General features: G+C 39.7%; 1 long non-coding RNA gene across 3 annotated transcripts in view, besides 1 other annotated feature; it reads left to right on the forward strand.

The window, feature by feature from the left end:
* The window catches only part of LOC107984361 (uncharacterized), a 552,293-nt gene that overhangs the window by 223,722 nt on the left and 306,364 nt on the right, over positions 1–22,207 (forward strand). The window lies entirely within an intron of this gene.
* Positions 20,223–21,422: an enhancer, noted in NCBI's record as "MED14-independent group 3 enhancer chr11:87314589-87315788 (GRCh37/hg19 assembly coordinates)". NCBI's record gives its function as "activates an origin of replication core promoter dependent on BRD2, BRD4, P300/CBP and CDK7 cofactors, and independent of MED14, by STARR-seq in HCT116 cells {active_cell/tissue: HCT116}" and the evidence as "EXISTENCE:reporter gene assay evidence [ECO:0000049][PMID:35650434]".

A 22,207-nucleotide genomic window follows, 5' to 3' on the forward strand; every position in this document is an offset into this window, starting at 1 on the left:
GCTGTTCCTCAAAATTCTCACTCTCTTAATACTAAAGAATTTTTTTACCTTTTTCTCCTGAGAGCTTCCTCTCTTTTTTAGTGTCATATTCCTTCCTCCTTCTCCCTTGCACATTGCTTTAGTCTGAATCCTTCTCATAACAAAACTCATTTTCCCATTATCTAGATCAGTACAACAAGGCAGCATATAGCACAGTGGTCAACAGCCTAGACTCTGGAACTGTTAAATTAATAATTTCTGGATTTAATTTCAAATCCTGTAAGTTACCAGCTATGACTCATTTGTTCCTCTGTAAAATGGATAATAGCACATACCTCATATGGCTATGGTAAAAATTCATATATTAAAAGTGACTGAGACCAAAACTTATCATACAGTAGGAACCAATTAGGTATTATTTTTGTTTTCCAAAGGCACCTACTAATAACAAATGAGAAAGAAAAAATTTCAAAACATTTGCTGTGGTATGGCAATATCAAATATAGAGGAAACCAGACACGATCTCTTTACTTCTCTGGTACCCTGTGTTAGAGTGCAAAGCTTGTGATGGAGTTTGAGTAGGGTTTCTTTCTTCTTCCCCTAATATAAGAAGTGACTAATGGCTTACGCCAAGGAGATGGAGGTCAGTCTTTTGTCCTGATTCTCTTACAGCAGGCACAGTATTTCAACAGTCTGTCCAACAATTTGGCATTCCTCACACCCTTTCCTGTATTCATTTCAATAAGCCCTGACATGTCCAAGCTCTGTAATCATAGTAGAGGAAAACCAGAAAAATTTACTTCTGCCTTCTGACAAGTTATTCAACTTATTTATTAAGACATTCCACATACATTTATTGAGTACCTACCATGTGCCAGGCATTAAAGATAACTGAAAGAGCAAATTCACCACTGTTGTTACTTTATGGAGTTGATAGGGTTTAGGACACATTTCCCCCAAATATGGTACATTGGCGTAGTGACTATTTTAAGCTGAAGGAATCTGAGAAAATGACAGAAGCAGAAAGGTCACTTAGACCTCTTCCCTGCCCTTCTTCCCAGCTGGTCATAAAACCTAGGAAGGGTTTTCTGACCCTCACCTGAAGTATGTCTTAAAATACTCACGTGAGAGGTACCCTCCCTCTTAGAATGAAGGGAGGATCCTTATCTCTGAAGACACAGGAACACAGAGTAGAATCTGAACAAACAGTCCTTGCTAAGTTTCCCCAGTTTATTACTATTAGATCATACTTTTTGCTCTACAGTATTGCTCCATGACTAGTCACTCTTCATCAACCCTACTATTAAAAACACCAAGGCTTAACAGTTTCTTCAGGTGTTCATTTCCTTATGGAGGCTCCTGGGTCAAGTAAGCCGTAAATAAAATTGAATGCTTTTGTTTTTTAAATTTATTTTTATTTTTTATTTTTCCATAGGTTATTGGGATACAGGTGGTGTTTGGTTACATGAGTAAGTTCTTTAGTGGTGACTTGTGAAATTTTGGTGCACCCATCACCTGAGCCGTATACACTGTACCTTATTTGTAGTCTTTTATCCTTCACCCCCACTTCTACCTTTCCCCCCAAGTCCCCAAAGTCCATTGTATCATTCTTATGCCTTTGTGTAGCTCCCACAAATCAGTGAGAACATACAATGTTTGGTTTTCCATTCCTGAATTACTTCACTTAGAATAATAGTCTCCAATCTCATCCAGGTCGCTGCGAATGCCATTAATTCATTCCTTTATATGGCTAAGTAGTATTCCATCGTATATCCACTCATTGATTGATGGGCATTTCGGTTGGTTTCATGATTTCTCAATTTGCAATTTGCATTTGCAAATTTTGCTGCTATAAACATGTGCAAGTATCTTTTTTGCATAATGACTTCTTTTCCTCTGGGTAGATCCCAGTAGTGGGATTGCTGTATCAAATGGTAGTTCTACTTTTAGTTCTTTGAGGAATCTCCACATTGTTTTGCATAGTGGCTGTACTAGTTCACATTCCCACCAGCAATGTAGAAGTATTCCCTGATCACTGCATCCATGCCAACATCTATTTTTTGATGTTTTTATTATGGCCATTCTTGCAGGAGTAAGGTGGTATCACAAGGTGGTTTTCTTTTGCATTTCCCTGATCATTAGTGATATTGAGCATTTTTTCATATGTTTGTTGGCCATTTGTATATCTTCTTTAGAGAATTGTCTATTCATGTTCTTAGCCCACTTTTTGATGGGATTGCTTGTTTTTTTTTTTTTTTTTCTGGCTGATTTTTTGTTTGTTGTAGATTCTGGGTATTAGTCCTTTGTCAGATGTATAGATTGTGAAGATTTTTTTTTTCCACTCTGTGTGTCATCTGTTTACTTTGCTGACTGTTCCTTTTGCCATGCAAAGCTCTTTAGTTTATTTAAGTACCAGATATTTATATTTGCTTTTATTGCATTTGCTTTTGGGTTCTTGGTCATGAAATCCTTGCCTAAGCTAATGTCTAGAAGGGTTTTTCCAACGTGATTTTCTAGAATTTTTATAGTTTCAGGTCTTAGATTTAAGTCTTTTATCCATCTTGAGTTGAATTTTTTTTTTTTTGAGATGGATGATTCTCACTCTGTCACCCAGGCTGGAGTGCAGTGGTGTGATCTAGGCTCACTGCAACCTCCACCTCCCAGGTTCAAGCAATTCTTCTGCCTCAGCCTCCTGAGTAGCTGGGATTACAGGCACCTACCACCTTGTCAGGCTAATTTTTGTATTTTTTTAGTAGAGATGGGATTTCACCATGTTGGCCAGGCTGGTCTTGAACTCCTGACTTCAGGTGATTTGCCTGCCTTGGCCTCCCAAATTTTGGGATTACAGGTGTGAGCCATGGTGCCCAACTTGAGTTGATTTTTGTATAAGGTGAGAGATGAGGATCCAGTTTCATTCTCCTACCTATGGCTAGCCAATTATCTCAGCACCATTTGCTGAAAAGGGCCTCCTTTCCCCACTTTATGCTTTTGTATGCTTTGTTGAAGATCATTTGGCTTTAAGTATTTGGATTCATTTCTGGGTTCTCTATTCTGTTCCATTGGTCTATGTGCCTGTTTTTATACAAATACCATGTTGTTTTCATGACTGTGGCCTTATAGTATAGTTTGAAATCAGGTAGTGTGATGCCTCCAGTTTTGTTCTTTTTGCTTAGTCTTGCTTTGGCTATGTGGGCTCTTTTTTTGGTTCCATATGAATGTTAGAGTTTTTTTTTTTTTTCTAATTCTGTGGATAATGGTGGTGGTATTTTGATGGGATTGCGTTGAATTTGTAGATTGCTTTTGGCAGTATGGTCATTTTCACAATATTGATTCTACCCTTCCATGAGAATGGGATGTGTTTCCATTTGTTTGTGTCATCTATGATTTCTTTCAGCAGTGTTTCATAGGTTTTCTTGTAAAGGTCTTTTGCCACCTTGGTTAGGTATATTCCAAAGTATTTTACTTTAGTTTATTGTTTTGCAGCTATTGTAAAAGGGGTTGAGTTCTCTATTTGATTCTCAGCTTGGTAGCTGTTGCTGTATAAAAAAACTACTGATTTGTCTACATTAATCTTGTATCTGGAAACTCTGCTGAATTCTTTTATCAGTTCTAAAAGCTTTCTGGAGAAGTCTTTAGGGTTTTCAAGGTAAACAATCATATATCATCTGCAAACAGCGACAATTTGACTTCCTCTTTACTGATTTGGATGCCCTACATTTCTTTCTCTTGTCTGATTGCTTTGGCTAAGACTTCTAGTACTACACTGAAGAGAAGTCATGAGAGTGGGCATCCTTGTCTTGTTCCAGTTCTCAGGGGGAATGCTTTAAACTTTTCCCCAGTATTATGTTGGCTGTGGGTTTGTCATAGACAGCTTTTATCCCATTGAGGTATATCCCTTGTATGCCGATTTTGCTAAGAGTTTTAATCATAAAGGGATGCTAAATTTTATTGAATGCTTTTTCTGCATCTGAATGCTTTTGTTTTGTATTGTTAGTCTGTCTTTTGTTGTAAGAGCCAGTTATGAGTCCAGGATAGGTAAAGGGGAAGACATTTTTTTCTCCCCTATGAGTTTATACTGTGAAGAAGGAGATAAGACATTAATTAAATTATCTCCCAAATAAATGCATATTTACAATTTTGAATAAGAGCTGATAAGAAAACTCATGATAAATGAATGTCAATATTAAGAGGACCTGAGCCACAGACATAGCAGTAGTAGAGTCTGACCTTTAAATTGAGCTGAGAAGAATGAATGGTCCTGGGTCCAAGGTGAGGTTTGGTGCTCCTTTCTGGGCTATTTTGGGGTTTCCTGCTGATGGAGCAATACTTACAAGGAACAGTAGCCACATGGTGGATGACATACCACTTCTGCTGGTCACTGGATACTTACCCAGTACTCCCCAGTGCAAGACTTCTCAGGTACACTGTGTTATAGCACAAAGCTTATGATGGAAAATCTGAGCAGAGCTTCCCTTTTCTTCCCCCAGTATAACATATGAGTTATGGCAAATGCTGTCTTCACTACCCAAGTTAGACATATATATGAGCTGCTAGAACTGGGAGCATAAATGAGGCATGAGCAGCCTCTGGAAGGCAGACCCTACCCACAACAGCTGATGCCATGAGGCTTGGTAGCAGAAACAGAAGTAGGAATGAGTCTGCTATACTTGGGTGCAGTGATTAAAAGAGGAAAATGGCAGCCTCTGCTACAGTCAAATGCAGGAAGTGAAATGGGAGACAGTATGCTCACATCATCGGTATCCCTACCTCCCTCAAAAAAATCATGGCCACTTGTACCTCATTAGCTAGATTAGACATGTCTCTGGGGTGGGGCTCTGAAGGCAATAAGTAGGAGTAGAAATGTGGGCAGTTTTCTGTACCTAAGATGACAGAATCTTTACTTCCCTTTCTAGCAACTAGAAGTTAACAAGGTAAAGCTGGAAGGGGATCGGGGAGCACTCTAGGGTGCTAGGCAGAAGAAAGAGCACATACAAAAGACTGAGATGAAGAATGTATGGACATTTAAGGAATGGAGAGAAAACCAGTGTACCTCGAGTGCAAAAGATGAGAGTGAGTGACTGTGGTGGACACGGGGCTGGAGAATAGACAGGGTTAGACCATGCAGGGCCTTCATGGCCAAGCTAAGGAGGTTAGTGTCCTATCAACAATGGGAATCTCTGCATAGATTTGATTTAGTTTTCTCACCTTATACAAGCAGACAAAAATGTCTATGATTCATTTATGCTCTTAAAGACTATTAAAAAGGCAGTAGAGGGGCAGGGCCAAGATGGCTGATTAGCAGCAGTGCTGTTCGGAGAATCCCATCATAAAAAACTATGATAAGCATGTGAATGCTTCACCGGCAACCAAGGTATCCAGGTTGTCTCATCAAAATTGACTAGAAGGCTGGCATGACCCATGGAAAGAAAGGAGAACAGTGTGGTACTATGGCCCACCTGAGAGCCACACAGGGAAGGGGAATCCCCTCCACCCAGCCAAGGGAGGTGGTGAGTGAGTGCGCTATCCAGCCAGGGAAACTGCGCTTTTTCCACAGAACTGCACAACACATGGATTGGAAGATGCCACTTGCGAACCTACGCTAGAATCTGCTTAAGCCTACCAAACTTCTAGGGGGAAGGGCAAACAGCACCAGCTGCCACTGCCTGCTGTCTAAGCCTTTTGAGCTCCTTGGGAGAGGGGCAGCAACCAGCACTGGGACTCGCAACTGCCTAACATGCTAAGCTCCATGGGCTGGGGAAGGGCAGCACCCATTTCTGTAGCTCCAGGCTGTGCTTTTCCCCTGCCAGAGCTGGGAAGGCTGGATGGCTTGGCCCCAAAGCTTGTCCCCACAGCCCAACACATCAGCTGTGGCAATCTGCGGCCAGAGTGCCTCTTCAGCCCCGACCCTGACCCATCCTTCCTCAGTGGGTGAGGCTTTCCTGCAGGATCTCCAATAATTCCAGCCATAGGCTCATGGACAGAATTTGGATCTCCCTGGGCCTGAGCCCCTAGGGAGAGGGGTGGCTGCAGTCTCTGCGGACCAGCAGTCTTAAGTTTTTCCTCCGAGTAGTTCTGAGAATCCAGGCATCCCAGACAAATGGGTTTCCCTGCAGTGAAACACACCCTCTCCACCAAGGGACAAAGTGCTTCATTAAATGGGTCCTGCTCCCCGTGCCACCCAACTGGGTGAGACCCTTCAACATGGGTTGTCAGACACCCTATATAGGAGAAATCCTACTGGCATCAGGTTGGTGCCCCTTGAGATCAGAGGTTCCGGAAGAAAGAGCAGGCATCCATCTTTGCTGCTCTGCAGCCTCCTTGAGTGACATCTCAAGGCATGGGAGTGAATCAGATGAATAAGGCCTTAAGTGAACCCCCTGCAAACTGCAGCAGTCCTACAGGAGAGGGACCTGACTACTGAAAGAAAAACAAACAAGCAGAAAGCAACAACAACAGCATTAGCAACAACAACAACAAAAAGGCCCCCTTAAAAACCCCATCCAAGGGTCAGCAGTCTCAAAGACCGAAGCTAGACAAACTCAAGAAGATGAGAAAGAATCATTGAAAATATGCTGAAAACCCAAAAGGCCAGAGTGCCTCTTTTCCTTCAAATGGTTGCAACATCTCTCTATCAAGGGTGAAGAACTGGAAGGAGGATCAGATGGAAGAATTGACAGAAGTAGGCTTCAGAAGATGGGTAGAAAAAAACTATGAGGAGCTAAAGGAGCATGTTCTAACCCAATGAAAAGAAGCTAAGAACCTTGATAAAGGGTTAGAGGGCTTGCTGACTAGAATAAACAGTTTAGAGAGGAAATAAATGACCTGATGGAGCTGAAAAACACAGCTTGAGACCTTTTGAAGCATATACACATCAATAGCCGAATTGACCAAGCTGAAGAAAGGATATCAGAGTTTGAAGAACACCTTACTGAAATAAGACATGCAGACAAGAATAGAGAGAAATGAGTGAAAAGGAATGAACAAAGCCTCCCAGAAATATGGGACTATGTGAAAAAACAACCTACAATTGATTGGTGTACCTGAAAGTGACAGGGAGAATGGAACCAAGTTGGAAAACACACTTCGGGATATTATCCAGGAGAACTTCCCCAACCTAGCAAGACAGGCCAACATGCAAATTCAGGAAATACAGAGAAAACCATTGAGATACTCCATGATAAGATAAACCCCAAGACACACAATCAACAGATTATAAGGTTGAAATGAAGGAAATACTGTTAAGGGCAGCCAGAGAAAAAAGTCAGGTCACCTACAAAGGGAAGCCCATCAGACCTACAGCAGACCTCTGAGCAGGAACTCTACAAGCCAGAAGAGATTGGGGGCCAATATTCAACATTCTACAAGCCAGAAGAGATTGGGGGCCAATATTCAACATTCTTAAAGAAAAGAATTTTCAACTCAGAATTTCTTATCCAGCTAAACTAAGCTTCATAAGTGAAGGAGAAATAAAATCCTTTCCAGGCAAGCAAATGCTGAGGGATTTCATTACCATCAGGCCTGCCCTGCAAGAGCTCCTGAAAGAAGCACTAAATATGGAAAGGAAAAACTGGTACCAGCCACAGCAAAAACACACCAAAATATAAGACTAATGACACTATGAAGAAATTGTATCAACTAGTGTGCAAAATAACCAAATAGCATCATGATGACAGGATCACATTTGTGCATAACAATATGAACCTTAAATGTAAATGGGCTAAATGCCCCCATTAAAAGACACAGTCTGGCAAATTGGATAAGGTGTCAAGACCCATCAGTGTGCCATATTCAGGAGATCCGTTGTACATGCAAAGACACACATAGGCTCAAAATAAAGGGATGGAGGAATATTTACCAAGCAAATGGAAAGCAAAAAAAAGAAAAAAAGCAGGGGTTGCAATCCTAGTCTCTGACAAATTTAAACCAACAAAGATCAAAAAAGACAAAGAAGGGCATTACATAATGGTAAAGGGAGCAATTCAACAAGAAGAGCTAACTATTCTGAAGATATATATATGCACCCAATACAGGAGCACCCAGATTCATAAAACAAGTTCTTAGGGACCTACAAAGAGACTTAGACTCCCACACAATAATAGTGGGGGGACAGTAACACCTCACTGTCAATATTAGATCAATGAGACAGAAAATTAACAAGGATATTCAGGACTTGAACTCATCTCTGGATCAAGTGGACCTAGTAGATATCTACAGAACTCTCTATCCCAAATAAACAGAATATACATTCTTCTCAGTGCCACAAGGCACTTATTTTACAATTGATCACATAGTTGAAAGGAAAACACTACTCAGCAAATGCAAAAAAACTGAAATAATGACAACCAGTCACTCAGACCACAGTGCAATCAAATTAGAACTCAGGATTAAGAAACTCACTCAAAACTACACAATTTCATGTAAATTGAACAACCTGCTCCTGAATAACTCCTGGGTAAATAATGAAATTAAGGCAGAAATAAAGAAGTTCTTTGAAACCAATGAGAAGAGACAAAGTACCATAATCTTTGGGAGACAGCTAAAGCAGTTTTAAGAGGGAAATTTATAGCACTAAATGCCCACATCAGAAAGCTAGAAAAATCAACACCCTAACCTCACAATTAAGAGAGCTAGAGAGGCAAGAGTAAACTAATCCAAAGGATAGCAGAAGACAAGAAATAACTAAGATCAGAGAAGAGTTGGAGATAGAGACATGAAAAACCCTCCAAAAAATTAATGAATCAAGGATCTGTTTTGTTTTTGAAAAATTAAAAAAATAGACCACTAGGTAGATGAATAAGGAAGAAGAGATATATAATAATCAAATAGACACAATAAAAATAATAAAGGGGATATCACCACTGACCCCACAGAAATACAGACTACCATCAGAGAATACTATAAACACCTCTATGCAAATAAACTAGAAAATCTAGAAGAAATAGATAAATTCCTGGAAACATACACCCTACCAAGACTAAACCAGGAAGAAATTGAATCCCTGAATAGACCAATGACAAGCCCTGAAATTGAGGCAGTAATTAATAGTGTACCAACAAAAAAAAAGCCCAGGACCAGATGGATTCACAGCTGAATTATACCAGAAATACAAAGAAGAGTTGATACCATCCCTTCTGAAACTATTCCAAATAATTGAAAAGGAGGAACTCCTCCCTAACCCATTTTATGAAGCTAGCATCATCCTGATACCAAAACCAAGAAGAGACACAACAAAAAAGAAAACTTCAGGCCAATATCCCTGATGAACATCGAAGTGAAAATCCTTAACAAATAAAATACTGGCAAACCAAATCCAGCAGCACATCAAAAAGCTTATCCACCACGATCAAGTCAGCTTCATCCCTGGGATGCAAGGCTGGTTCAACATATGCAAATCAATAAACATAATCCATCACATAAACAGAACCAAAGAGAAAAACCACATGATTATCTCAATAGACGCAGAAAAGGCCTTCAATAAAATTCAACATCCCTTCATGTTAAAAACTCTCAATAAACTAGATATTGATGGAATGTATCTCAAAATAATCAGAGCTATTTATGACAAACCCACAGCCAATATAATATTGAATGGGCAAAAGATGGAATCACTCCTTTTGAAAACCAGCACAAGACAAGGATGCCCTCTCTCACCACTCTTATTCAAAATAATATTGGAAGTTCTGTCCAGGGCAATCAGGCAAGAAAAAGAAAGGGTATTCAAATAGGAATACAGGAAGTCAAGTTGTCTCTATTAGCAGATGACATGATTTTATATTTAGAAAACCCCATCATCTCAGCCCAAAAACTTCCTGAACTGATAAGCTACTTCAGCAAAGACTCAGGATACAAAATTAATGTGCAAAACCCACAAGCATTCCTTTACACCAACAATGGGCAAGAAGAAAGCCAAATCATGAATGAACTCCCATTCACAATTGCTACAAAGAGAGTGAAATACCTAGGAATACAGCTAACAAGGGATGTGAAGGATCTCTTCAAGGAGAACTACAAACCACTGCTGAAGAAAGTAAGAGAGGACACAAATAAATGGAAAAACATTCCATCCTCATGGATAGGAAGAATCGATATTATGAAAACAGCCATACTTCCCAAAGTAATTTATAGATTCAATGCTATTCCCATCAAACTACCATTGACATTCTTCACAGAATTAGAAAAAAAATTTTAAATTTCATATGGAATCAAGACCCCATATAGCCAAGACAATCCTAAGTGAAAAGAACAAAGCTGGAGGCATCATGCTATCTGACTTCAAACTATACTACAAGGCTACAGTAACCAAAACAGCATGGCACTGGTACCAAAACAGACATATAGACCAACGGAGCAGAACAGAGACCTCAGAAATAGCATCACACATCTAAAACCATCTGATCTTTGGCAAACCTGACAAAAACAAGGAATGGGGAAAGGATCTCCTATTTAGTAAATGGTGCTGGGAAAACTGGCTAGCTATATGCAGAGAACAGAAACTGGACTCTTTCCTTACACCTTATATGAAAATTAAATCAAAATGGATTAAAGAGTTAAATGTAAAACCCCAAACCATAAAAACCCGAGAAGAAAACCTAGGCAATACCATTCAGGACATAGGCATGGGCAAAGACTTCATGACAAAAACTCCAAAAGCAATTGCAACAAAAGTTAAAATTGACAAATGGGATCTAATTAAACTAAAGAGCTTCTGCACAACAAAAGAAACTATCATCAGAGTGAACAGGCAGCCTACAGAATGGGAGAAAATTTTTGTAATCTGCCCATCTGACAAGGGTCTAATATCCAGAATTTACAAGGAACTTAAACATATTTACAAGAAAAAGACAGCTCCATCAAAATGTTTACTGACGCTTCTCAAAAGAAGACACTTACACACCTAACAAACATGAAAAAAAAAAGCTCAACATCATTGAGCATCAGAGAAATGTAAATTAAAACCACAATGAGATACCATCTCACACCAGTCAGAATGGCAATTATTAAAAAGCAAACAATAGATGCTGGCAAGGCTGTGGAGAAATAGGAGCACTTTTGCACTGTTGGTAGGAATGTAAATTAGTTCAACTATTGTGGAAAACAGTATGGTGATTCCTCGAGGATTTAGAACCAGAGATACCATTTGACTCAGCAATCCCATTACTGGTTATATACCCAAAGGAATATAAATCATTCTAATATAAAGACACGTGCACATGTATGTTTATTGCAGCACTATTTACAATAGTGAAGACATGCAACCGACCCAAATGCCCATCAATAATACACTGGATAAAGAAAATGTGGTACATGTACACCATGGAATGCTATTCGGCTATAAAAAGGAATGAGATCATGTTCTTTGCAGGGACATGGATGAAGCTGGAAGCCATCATTCTCAGCAAACTAACACAGGAACAGAAAACCAAACAATGCATGTTCTCACTCATAAGTGGGAATTCAACATTGAGAACACATGGACACAGAAAGGGGAGCAATACACACCAGGGCCTGTTGCAGGGTGAAGAGTGAGGGGAGGGAACTTAGAGGACGCGTCAATAGGTGCACCAAACCACCATGGCATATGTATACCTATGTAGCATGTTTTGCACATGTATCCCATTTTTTTGTTTTTAGAAGAAATGAAAAAGGCAAAAGAGCTAGGATGACCACATGTCCTGGTTTGCCTGCGAACAGTCAAAGTTTCTGCCCATTTTCCTAGCTGGAAAATATCTTGGTTTGGATGGTAAATTATGTGGCCACTACATGTGCCTCAGTGTAGTGATTGAAAAAGCCTTTTAGATTTGTGGCCTGTAGATCTGGAACTACATTGACTGAGTCAGTATCCAACTCTGACATTTCTTATTGGTGTGACCTTGGGCAATCATTCTGTTCCTTAGTTATATCATCTCTAAAATGAGTTAATACTATACCAACATTTAAATTGTATAAGAATTGAATTATTGATATATATAAAACAGTGCCTGGAACACCATAGATGTTTAATAAATGCTAACTATCATTGTTGCACATTTATTTACTTATTCTAATGGTGTTTTGAACAAGCATTTAGAAAATTATTATTGCATTCCACTGAGTTTGCATTTTATAATGGGAAGGCAGGGTTGGTTCAGATGCCCCACGGTTATAATGTGGAATGTCAATTAATAGAAGCCATCACCACTTCAGTGCATGCTGGGTGTCAGGCTCTGTGCTAAGTAGTTTACAGATGGTTTTTTCCTTACTCTTCCCCAACAATCTCTGAGGGGTATGCATCATGGGTCTGGTTTACAGATGGGAAACTGGGTTTGGGGAGGTTAAGAATTTCTCCAGTTGAACAAAGTGGTAAAGTAGAGATTTTATTCCATCTTCCAGATCCATGATCCAGTCTCGAAACCATTACATTCCATGCCCCTCTGATGCCAACCTTAGAGACAAGGCAGGTTAAGCTCTTCTTAGGAGCCAGCCAACACTTCTAATCCATTTGTCCAAACTTCCCCTCATTCAGACATATTTGTATTTTTAGTCTGTAGCATTCCCGGGGGCAAGAAGGGAGAAATACATTCTTTAAGTCTCCTATTCACTGTTTTACAGTAGGAAAGGCCTAGCTTAACTGACTTAAAACTACTTACTCTTACTTTCCTAAGGGGTTGTCTTGTCCTTTTTAATGAGAATTTTGGGTTCTGTTTATGCAGAATGGTCACAATATGATTGGTTTTGAGCATGTCCTCTGTCGACCTCTTCTTTTTCTTACTGAAGAGCTGAACCTTTTCCTTCTGTCCTTACATGTCAGTCCCAGATTCTCAGCCCTATTTCTGTTCATGTTGGGAGTATAAAGTGTGTGGTTTATAAAGTACAAGACTGAACAGATGCACTTTGTTCTATACTTGAAAGATTATGTACGTGAGACTATTAAAAGGTTATGTCTTATGAACTTAGCTGGAGAATCACAAAATCGCATTTCTTTTGCAGTGGCTCTTTAATCTATTTCCACTGAATAATGGTGTCATTGTCCTTGGATCCAAGCAGGCTTCGGGTGAATTCTTAGTTCTACCATTTACTTACTGTGTGTACTTCGGCAAGCTCTTCTACTCTCAGAGCCCTGGTTTCCCCATCTGGACACCCACAGATGGGAAAGGGATGGCTTGTACCTGTGAAGTATCATTTAAAGTCACTTCACGGCCACTCTCTCAGTAGCCCTGAGCTGTTGGGTAGGAAAACTGGGAAGCTAACTCAGAGTTTCTGTTTCCACGTCCAGAACCAGCTGGTACAAAGAGCATGGGTTTTACAAGACCAACCTAAATTTGGAACCCACCTCTAGCATATTTAGCTTTTTGTAACCACTCCAAGTCAGCTCCTCAGTGTAAAATCTCCATACAAATATATTAGTCTTCGAAATAATGTTCACCAAAATATGTCTACATCTTCATTCCTAGGACCTATGAATATGTTAACTTACATGGCAAAAGCAACTTTGCAGATGTTACTAAGGGAAGGATCTTGAGCTGGGAAGATCATTGTGAATTATTCTCTTGGGTCTGACATAATCACAAAGGTTCTTATAAGAATGGGGTAGGCAGGTCAGAGTCAGAAAAGAAGATGTGATAATGGAAGCAGAAATTGGAGGGATGCAAGGAAGGGGCATGAGCCAAAGAATGCAGGTGGAAAAGACAAGGAAACAAATCCTCCCTGGGGCTTCCTGAAGGAAAACAACTCTGCTGATACCTTAAGACTTCTGACTCCAGAGCTGTAAGATAATCAGTCTGTGCTGTTTGAAGCCACTAAGTTACGGCAACAACAGGAAACTAATACAGGACATTTATAATCATGATAATGTTGATGATGACAGTCATAACTGATAATAATACTTCACATGGTATATATGTCCCAGGAATTTTTCTAAGTTTTATAGATGTATGTTTTACATATTATACACTATATATTATATATATTTATATTTTATACATTTCTATTTTACTTTGATACGTATTTCATATGTGTATATATATGTATATATATTTATGCAATTCTCAGAACAATTTTCACAAAATAAACATTTTGCAGATGAGGAGACAGGCATAGAGAGGCTAAGTAACATTCTCAAGGCCACATAACCAGGAATGGACAAAGCTGACATTTGAATCATGTCAATTTATAAAGCACCTACAGAAGGCCTGGCACATAGTGCTTCCCAATAAATGGAGGGCACTATTATTGATATTCCTACTACATGACATTTCTTCTAAATCTGTAAGAATGCTCATATTGCAGCAATGACTGGCTATGCTAAAGCTTTCTTCTCATGCTTACAGACACAGACTCCAGAGCTATGGGCCCTTCTAATCCCAGGCTCAGGTGAAACCAGTCCTGCCCTTTCTCTGTGAGGGCTCACCCAGGATAGAGGAGATGTGGGAAGGTAGTTGTTCTCATCCTATGTCAGCTATTGCACTTGCATTCCTACCTCTGCATTCTTCCTCCTTTGGAAACCACAAATTACCCAGCAGAGTCCTAGTGACAGAATGATGGAACTGGGCTGGTGCCTGCAGCTGGGCTAAGTCAATAAAGGTGATAATGAACAGTAAGCAGAATTTGAAGAATGACTTGGAAAATTGCTGCTATTGATATTTCTGGCAGCCATCTGCTGTAAAACCAGACTCAAGTGGGTTGTTCCACAAGGCAAATCCTTTTGAGACAAATGATGGCAGTAATGATGAGAGTTCATATTTGTGCAACGTCTAAAAGTGTTTTTAGGTAATATATATATTTAGGTAATATATATTTTTAGGTAATATATATTACCTAATTTTAGTTCTCAAAAACCCAGTGACGTAGGACCCATTTCATAGATTAAAAAAAAAAAAAAAAAAAAAGGCAATCAGAGGGGTTAATTTCATTGACCCTGACTGCCTGGCTTGGTTGTGGCTGCAGAAATAATTTTTGAATTTTTAAGTAAGGACATACTTGGGGTAACCTTTGTCAATGCGCTTGACTTGGGACTGTATGGCCAGCAGATGTTCTCTTTACTAACCTCACCAGGATAGAGGTCAGGATGGCTTTGGCTCCACTTCTGACAACCCCAGGTCAGAGCAGAACAGAGCTGTGTTTGTTGGGAATTGTTCCTTCTCATAAAATGAGATACCAACATCCTACTCTGCACCTTTAACCTCCTCTCACTGCTCAGCTTACTCATGCTGGCTCCAAGTTCAAGTCCTCTGCTGCACACAGCTGTGGATGCCCTACACTCTTCACAGTTCCCCCACTGCTGCCTTTGTACCTCACCAGCTTCCAGACCTGTGTGCCACAGGTAGTGGGACACACGATAAACATTTTTTGAATGACCAAATGGTCTGGAAGAAAAAGGCTCCAGAGGCACAATTTTCTATTTATGATCCTGTTTAACATTTTTATGGAGAGCTATTTTCAAATCACTGCCCCTTTGTTTTAGTCCTGATTTGTAAGTTTTATTTCACAGTTACTAAGAAACTTGAATTAGTTATCAACCTCGTGATGCAGCCACGATGTTCATCCTTTTAAAATCATAGCTTGTTATAAGAGAAGGAAATCGTAGTACTCAGCTTAGAAAACAAGCTCAGAAAAGGCAAGTTCAAGGTCATGCAATTAGTTATTGGTAGAGCCAGGATAGGAAATAATACATATTTCTTATACAAAAAAGAAATTACCTTCACAGATCATATACACATACGTGATTTTGTTTAATCCTCAACAAGCCTGTGAAGCTTAGAAAGATTAAGTAACTTGTCTACAATACACGGTTCATAAGAGGAAGACAAAATGGGGGCTAGACTTGGGTCTTTGTGAGCTGAGTCTCATTTGTTGGGGAACAAGCTCTCCTGACTTTTCCTCATACTTTTAATTATTTATAATTTGTTCTAGTTTCTCCCTACATCTTCAGTAATCAGTCTTTAATTTACACATCCTGTTGTCACAGAACCACTCTCTTACCGTTTTGTTAAATATGATTTCTAGCTAGCTAATACGATTTTGAGCTACTTACCCCCTGCCCTGTATACTCAGAAGTTTAAAATTTGCTAAATTATTTGTCTGAGGTAATAAATAGAAAGAGTGAGGAAGATTGAGGTTTTTTTTTTTCTTGAGACAGTCTCAGCCACCCAGGCTGGAGTTCAGTGGCCTGATCTTGGCTAACTGCAACCTCCGCCTCCCAGCTTCAAGTGATTCTCCCATCTCAGCCTCCTGAGTAGCTGGGATTACAGGCACCTGCCATCATGCCCAGCTAATTTTTGTAGAGACAGGGTTTCACCATGTTGGCCAGGCTGGTCTTGAATGAAAGAGCAAGTTTTATAACCTTCTATCAGAGTGTTGCTACACTTGTTGTTACTTGCTAGTTTATCTGTCTGTTTTATAGATAACACTTTCATATATATTGCTCTCTTGGATCCTTGTAACAACCCTTAGAGGTAGGTATTGAATTATTATTCGTATTGTCCAGATAATAACACTGAGGTCCAAAGAACTTCACTGGCCAAGGTCACAGTGCCTGAGGTCATGATGTTAAGAAAGTGCAGGGCCAGGGCCTGCTATACCAGAGTTCCACTCTCCATCCTTCCTTGTAATGCCTGTGTTTCCGCATTGGCTCCTGATGCAGGTGTGTGCAAGGGAGGGCGGCAAGTGTACATTCTAGGTATGCAGAAATGGTATGTGCATGCCAAGAATATGCATCTTGGTGCCTCGATTTACCCCGATGCTGATAGAGGAGATGCTGTATTCTCTTTAAGCCTTTGGGAAACACCAAGCACAGTAATCCACAAAGGGTACTGGGTGGGTGGGTATATTCGTCACAGCTTGGATTGTCATAACAAAATTCCACAGACTGGATAACTTAAACAACAGAAATGTATTTTCTTATACTTCTGGAGGCTGGAAGTCCTAGATCAAAGTGTTGGCAAGTTTAATTTTTCCTGAGGCCTCTCTCCACTTGAAGATGACTGTCTTCTCATTGTGTCTTTACATGGTAGTTTCTCTGTGCATGCACAACACTTTTGTCTCTTCTTCTTATAAGGACATCAATGCTAGCTCCAAATACAGGAACATTCAGGGTTAGGGCTCACCATATGAATTTTGAGGGGACACAAGTCATAACAGTGGCCACACATGGTTGAAATGCATAAGGTTCAGAAAGAGTACATCCTTCTTTGTCAATGCCTGTTTAGGCTGCCAAATTTATGGGCTTGGATGAGTTGTTTTTGAAGCCTCTAAGTCACTTTGCTTTTCCTCCCCAAATATTGTGCTTAAAAGCATGCTATTTTCAAATTGAAATGAGAGAGCAAGAAGAAAGAAATGCTGCCATAAATCTCCAAGCAAAGGAAAAAAATTAGTCTATGGAGAAATGAAAATAAGTAAACTGAGAATTCTCTCAGACCTGGAAAAATCAATTGTTACCACATCGTCCCTGACAGTGATCTAGTTGAGATCGATTCAGTTAAAGTTAATAACACCTGCATGAGTTCCACTGTAGCAGATTGTCAATTTTCTTACTAGTCCTGTGAGCTATGGGTGCCAGCTTCCAAGACGAATATAAATGAATGCTGGGATTTCAACCATTACAAGGGGATTAGTTAAAAAAAAAATAATTCTCAAGTTCTTTCAACTGCTCAAGACAGTAGTCAGCTTCATGAGTCAAATTGCTCCCAGAGGCAGCTTATTAGAGTCCACATGGAATGTACTGCTTCCCCAGAGGTTAAACACACAGCACAGAAGGAGGCCGCATGGGCACTGTCTGACTTTGATGAATGATTGCAGCATGGTTTCACTGTCGTCGTCTTATTTTATTTTTGTAGTTTACTGAGGACACATTCCAAGTGGCAGAACTTTTGTTGAGCCTATTTGGGCAGGTGTTTGAGTTGTGCTCTTGTACCTAAAGTTTAAGGCCAGTGTTCCAGGTCAGGCTCCCACACATATCAGAAAAAGAAGGGTCCTAACTTTTATTCATTTCTTACTATACATAGACTGCTAGTTGCTTAAAAAAATTCTTACTCTCTTCTTCTTGGGAAACAGCTAGACTACACTTTCCACCTTCCTTTGTAGTTTAATTATATGTAGGCCTGTAATTGAGTTTTAGCCAATGGGTTGTACTTGGAGAGTTGCCAGATAAAATACAGAGTACCCAGTTAAATTTAAGTTTTAGATAAAAAACATATTTCTGGTATAAATATGTCCCAAGTACTGCATGAGGCATGCTTATATTAAAAGAAATTGTGTTGTTTATCTGGAATTCAAGTTTAACTGGACGAAGTACAGGATACCTGTACTGCATGTCTATTTGCTAAATCTGACAGTCCCAAATAGGAGTGAAAGTAACAGGCTCTACTCCCAGGCATGGCCCATGCAAACCTTCTCTATGTGCTACCCCTCGTCCTTCTCCATTTAACCTGGCTGGATGGAGACAATATTCAGGAAAACTTCATAAGTCATATATTTGAAGATGGGAGGACCACTATCAATCAGTTTGGGTTTCTTCTGGAATGGGATCCTTTAGTTTGGTGCATTCATGACTACCTGAAGGACAGGCACCCACTAACTCATTCACTCTCTCTGTTCTATTATATGAGCAAGAAAGAAACACCTACTGTATCTGAGTGATAAATGTTGGATTCTGTCTTCTTCAGCAGCTATCCTACCCAGCTGATACATTTAGTATATGACAAGAACCACATGTATAAAGCAGCAATTAATCCTCCCCACAACTTCCTCAAGCTGGTATTGTCCTTGTTTTATCCATGGGGTTAATAAGGCCCAGAGATATTAAGCAACTCGCCAATTTATCAATTGATTTATTATCAGTTATCAATTTATCATTGATTTATTCTAAATATAATTATAAAACAGGTTACCTTTAGAGATTATTTGTGATTATTTATGAATTTGAATAAATATTCCTTATAATCTGTAAGTCTTCACATTTAAGTGAGCCTCTAATTTTATTTTTAAATTAATTATTTGATCTTAGAGGACCATTCAAAAGACTCAAAAGGGAATACATTGAAAAATCAATCTCACTGTTACCCCTTTTCCCCAGCCAACCAACTTTCTATCTAGGAAGTGACATTTCTGGTGTGTGTGTGTGTGTGTGTCTGTGTATTTTCATAGTCTGTGCATATATAAACATTTACACACACACACACACAGACACACACACTTCTATTTCAACCCAAATGATTGCATCCTATTGTGGAAATAATGAAAAAAAAAATCCCACTACATTAGAAAAAACAGAAGCTATTTATTCAGAGCTTGGAACTCGGTCGCCATGATTGTGTTTGACAGAGGCTCAAAGGCAGGCAGGGCAGTGAGAAAACTTTATAGTGAAAAAAGGGTAAGGCTTCAGGTGTGCCCTGAATGGAGGCTGTTGACATGAGAAAGTTGGAGGTTAGCTAACTAGAGGCAGGGTATCATCTGTGATTGGTTTGGAGAGCATATTTGACCTACTCTGTTTGGTCCTAAGTTGGAAGTCAGGCTGAAAGTTTCGGAAGCTGGTAGTCACTGAGCAAGCTATGACTGTTCTAGGACTATTGCTACAGAAATTGTGGTTTGACTTCCTGGGATGAAGCTTGTAGGTAAGGGTTTTAATTGTCATATGTAGTCTGGCCATTGTCTATTTGTATATTCAGTATCTTGCTATGCATATTATCTAGATGTTGATTTTTAAAAATTAGGCAGTAATATTGACCTTGTTGGTGTATAATTCTATCAATTTTAATACAAGGATTGATTCATGTAACTATTATCTCAATCAGGATACAGAACAGTTCTGTCACCCAGAAAGACTCCCTCTTGCTAGTATAAACAAACTGTTACTGAATTTTCTAGCTCAACTACCTACTGAATCTGTTACACCATATGATGTCAGTATCAATTTATTTCAATTCAACAATGAACATATTTTTCTATCTGATTACATAGTTTGATAAATGAAAAACATATGTTACTAAATAGTACCAAATAGAGATAAAAATATTAAATGTTGTGACTCTGGAAGCTTGGGAGGGGAAGAAGCTCTCATGGTCACTATAAAGGTATAAGGAGGGATGAATGGGTGTAATCTGAAGAGAATCAAGTGCCTTCAAATATACATCTCATTGCATGAATATAAATAGATCTGTGTGATTCTGTTTATTTTGCAATGATATCAAAACTGTGTGTCATGCCTTGCGCTAATGATGGCATATGGAAGTTAAGAAAACATTTTTACCTTCTACAATTTACATTACTGGAGAAGCTTACCAACCAACCACCTAACCAACCAACCAAACAGTGTGTTCAATGCTATGACAGACACATGAAAACAGTGTACTGAATCTAGAAGATGGACACAGGTGGAGCAGGGAAGACTTTATCTAAACCAGGGGGATCCCCCTCTCTTATCTCCTCATAGCAACTATAATTTGGCAATCATCCACAGATAAAAGTGCCATTGTGGGAACTTTGAAAGTCAGATAGGAGATTGTAAAACCTCCATGGAGCCCAAGACAGAGGAGGGCTGGCCAACTGTGGTTCTGACTATCACTAGCTATGGCCTTGTTCCCCTGTAGACTCAGCTATATCCTTGTTAGGCCTTGGTCTTATCACTAGAATCATGTGGCAAAGGCTCTGGGAAAAGTCGCACCCACCTGTGCCAAGGGAAACAGACACCCTGACCTCATTCCTGGCTGTAGATCCTGAAGCAGCCCTGTAACTTGGCTTCACCTCCTCTCAGCTGTGATCTGAGAGCAATCCTGTCCCTGGGGACCTGATGAGAAACACTTCTGTTCATTGTCCCAGGAACAGGCCAGCCCACCTTGATTCCACGGTAAATCTTGAAGTGATCTTGCAACCTAGCTCCATCTTCTTCCAGCTATACTCCAGGAGCAGTCCTGCCCACTCAGTGACCCTCTGGGAGACATGCTCATCTGTGCCTCCAGAGTCAGGCCTGCTGAATTTAGTCTGACCATATATCTTGAAGCAGCCTTATTTTTCAGCTTCAGTCACACTTTGCCTCAGTCCAGGGAGAGTTCAGCCTTCCAAGGAACCTGGCAAGAGGCATGTCCATTCATGTCCCTGGAAGTAGGCCTGCCAACTCTAGTCTCAGTTGTGGACCCTGATGCAGCCCTGTGACTCAATTCCAACCCCTCTCAGTCTGGAGCCAGTCCTGCCTGCCCAGATATCTACCCAGTGACCCAGAAGGAGACCTTCCAGTGACTTGGAGGAAGTCACATTTATCCACAATAACAGCTCTTTCAGCTGTGGACCCCACTGCAGAACAGGCTAAAGTGCTACTTGATCATGATCCTAAAGGCAATCCCATCACATGAGGACCCACCAGGAGAAAGTTTTTACTTATTGAAATCAGTTCTATAAAGACTGAAGGAGATATTTGTTCCTTCAAATGTACAGGCACCAACACAAGGCTACATGTACAATCCAGAATCAGGCAAGCATGACACCACCAAAGGAAACTAATAGAGCTTGAGCAACCAACCCCAAGGAAATGGATAACTATGAGTTGGATGAAAAATAATTCAAAGTAGTCATGTTAAGGAAGCTCAATGAGATGCAAGAGAACACAGATAGAAAACAAAATCAGGGAAACAATGCATTAATAAAATGAGTAGTTCAATAAAGAAATAAAAAGTATAAAAACAACCAAATGGAAATCTTGAAGCAGAATGATAAAATGACAGAATAGAAAATACAATACAGATCTTTAGCAGCATAGTCAATCATGCAGAAGAAAGAACCAGTGAACTCAAGGCAGGACATTTGAAATTAGCCAATTAGAGAAACAAAAAGAAAAAAAAAACGAGTAAAAAAGTGAAGAAAGCATAAGAGACCTATGAGACACCATTAAGTGAATAAATTATGAGTTTTGGGAATTCGAGAAGAGAGAGAAAGGGGCAGAAATCTTATTTAAAGCTACAAACTTCCCAAATTTTGGAAGAGATATGGATATTCAGATTCATAAAGCTTAACCCAAGCCAATCAAGCTCAACCTAAAGAATAATACCCCAAGACACAGTTTAACAGTTTAATTAAATTGTCAAAAGTGAAAACCAGAAAAAGTTTGAAAGCATCAAGAGAAGAAATCATCGCACACAATGGAACCCCCATAAGTCTATCAGCGAACTTGTTAGCACAAATTTTACAGGCCAGAAGGGAGTGGGTTGATATATTCAAAGTGCCAAAAGACTCAAACTAACTGCCAAGAATAATATATCTGGCA

This window comes from Homo sapiens, chromosome 11 (genome assembly GCF_000001405.40).
Source record: "Homo sapiens chromosome 11, GRCh38.p14 Primary Assembly".
Classification (NCBI taxonomy): Eukaryota; Metazoa; Chordata; class Mammalia; order Primates; family Hominidae; genus Homo; species Homo sapiens.